Source organism: Homo sapiens, chromosome X, assembly GCF_000001405.40.
Source record: "Homo sapiens chromosome X, GRCh38.p14 Primary Assembly".
NCBI classification, from domain to species: Eukaryota; Metazoa; Chordata; class Mammalia; order Primates; family Hominidae; genus Homo; species Homo sapiens.
The window spans coordinates 4,214,287-4,217,459 of NC_000023.11; positions in this window are offsets into that span (position 1 = coordinate 4,214,287).

Sequence of the window (3,173 nt, forward strand, 5' to 3'; positions counted from 1 at the left end):
AGTTTCTAAGGACAGATCATTAATCTATTGTCACCAATCAGGGGAGACCGTGTCCTATATAATTGCAACTTCAAAGTTAGTAAAGGCCAATTTTTATTTGAGGGAAAAAAATCTTACTTCCAGGAATGTATTATAAAATGCCAGGCAGGTTTATCGCAGCTGGGATCACTGTCACTACAGAACTGTCTGGGGAGTCCATGTTCTCTTATAAATCAGCCTGGCTCTTCATATATGTTTGGGCTGACTTGTCATTTACCTTTCTTGGGAAGAAGCAAGAAAAAGATGAACCTCACCCCAACTTACTTGTGTCCTCTGATAAATATAGCCCTGGTGAGATTTCGTGGAAAGTTTTCACACAGAAAATGTGAAACTTTATCTTGAAAATAGCAGATAAGTCAACTATTTAATGATGAAAGAACGCATATACACTGGTTGACTGGCCAGGGAATGTGGCTTTTACTAATGAAGAAGTAACAAGGAAAGCCTATGAAATTAAAAACCAAAACAGTTTTCTGTCATTGTTTTGTTTATAAGAGATCAATTTTATACTTTCTTTTAATATATCTGTTCTTTTTCTTTTTTCTTTTCTTTCCATTTTTTTTTTTCCTTGATACAGGGTATTGCTTTGTCACCCAGGCTGGAGAGCAATGATGTGATCATAGCTCTCTGCAGCCTCAACTTCCTGGGCTCAACTGATCTTCCCACCTCAGCCTCCTGAGTAGTTGGAACCAGAGGCACACGCCACCACACCAGGCTATTTTATTATTATTATTATTTGTAGAGATGGGTTCTTTCTATGTTGCCCAGGCTGGTCTCAAACTCCTGAGCTCAAGTAATTTTTCCATCTCAGCCTCCCAAGTTCTTGGAATCACAGGCACACACCACTGTGCCCAGCTATTTTAAAAAATTGTTTGTAGGGACAGGGTCTTGCTCTATTGCCCAGGCTAGTCTCAAACCCCTTGGCTCAAGCAATCCTCCCACCTCAGCCTCCCAAAGTCCTGGGATTAGGGGCATGAGCCACAGCACCCAGCCAACATTTCTATTTTTTCTACTAAAATGCTCTTCGTGCAGAATGTTTTTAGCAATGATAGCTCATATCCTCCAAGAACAGAGCATACGAAGTCTACAGATGAGATCAGAAATACGCCGTTTTTTGATATCTCCTATCTCCTGTGTTCACAAACTTCACGAGGCTTTTTAAGACAGTTTTACAAACCCCACTTATGGGAAGGTTGGTGTGCTCACATATCTCCAAATCCACCTCCAGATTTGATGATCTACTAGAATAACTCAAAAGACTGAGCAGATAATCATACTCTAAGCTATGATTTATGTAAGCAAAATATAGCAAGAAAAATTAGCAAAAGGAAATAGCAAATGAGGTGAATGCCACAGGAAACCAGGTGCAAGCTTCCAAGGAAATTCTCTCTCACTGGAGTCACAGAGGATGTGATTAATTCCTCCAGTGATGAATTTTGACAAAGCGTTTGAAATGCTCTCTACCAGGGAATGCCCTTGGAGACTCAGTACCCAGGATTTTTATGGGGGGGATCTTCACAAAGACATCTACCGAAATTTCAGCCATCTGGAAAGAAAGCAGGTGTTCTCCCCAAATTACATTTTTGGGGTGTAGTGTAGACATCATGAGCCATGCTTATCAGTTAGGGTAGCGGGAAGTTCCCTAAGTCCAAGTTCTTAAATGGCAGTCTTGGGCCAACCTAATAAGTATGACTTTCTCAGGATAGTCTTTCTCAGGATAGAGCTCAGGTCCTTAGCTCAACTCTTTTTAGTAGGCTTTTTATTTTTTATTTTGTTTTATAGCACAGTATGAAGGAATATCCAGGTTCATAGGAAGTTTTCAACCAATGTCTGCAATGATGTCTCTATGACAAAAGATGGTTTTCAGAGAAAATCCCTTATATATTGCTAAATAGAACTAATCTCCCCCACTATTGGGTATATTAACCATGGCAGCATATTCTTCTTATTTTTAAGCTGGATATATAAACTCGTTTTTCTTTTGTATTTGTATAAATTTAAGGGGTCCAAGTGCACTTTTATTACATCTGTATATTGCCTAGTGGTGAACTCTTGGCTTTTAGTGTATCCATCACCTGAATAATGTACATCATACCCAATAAGTAATTTCTCATCGCTTATCCCTCCCTGACCCTCCCACCCTTCTGAGTCTCCAGTGTCTATTATTCCACTCTCTATATCCAAGTGTACACATTATTTACCTCCCACTTATGAGTAAGAACATGCAGTATTTGACTTTCTGTTTCTGAGCTGTTTCACTTAAGGTAATGTCCTTCAGCTCCATCCATGTTGCTGCGTATAGTAGAAAATTCTAATGGCAACCACACCTGATGTGGAATTATCTTTGTGTGTGTGAAATAAAATTATATACCATAATAGTCACCCTTTTAAAGAGCACAACTCCGTGGCTTTTAGTATATTCGTAATTGTGCAATGTCACCACTATCCAATTGCAAAATACTTTTATAACAGCACAAAGAAGCCTCATATCTATTAAAAGTTACAACTTCAAAGTTAGTAATATGGACTGGGTGCGATGGCTCGTGCCTATAATCCTGACACTTTGAGAGGCCAAGGTGGGCGGATGGCTTGATTCCAGGAGTTTGAGACCAGCCTGGGTAACACAGTGAGACACTGTCTCTACAAAAAGTACGGCCGGACGCGGTGGCTCACGCCTGTAATCCCAGCACTTTGGGAGGCTGAGGCGGGCAGATCACGAGGTCAGGAGATCAAGACCATCCTGGCGAACACGGTGAAACCCCGTCTCTACCAAAAATACAAAAAAATTAGCTGGGCATGGTGGCGGGAGCCTGTAGTCCCAGCTACTCGGGAGGCTGAGGCAGGAGAATGGCGTGAAGACGGGAGGCAGAGCTTGCAGTGAGCCGAGATTGTACCACTGCACTCTAGCCTGGGCGACAGAGGAAGACTCTGTCTCAAAAAAAAAAAAAAAAAAAAAAATATATATATATATATATATATATATGTTAGCTGTGCATGGTGATGCACACCTGTCGTCCAGCTACTCAGGAGGCTGAGGTGGGAAGATCACCTGAGCCCGGGGAGGTGGAGGCTGCAGTGAGGTGTGATCATGCCACTGCACTCCAGCCTGGGTAATAGAGCAAGTCTCTGTCTCA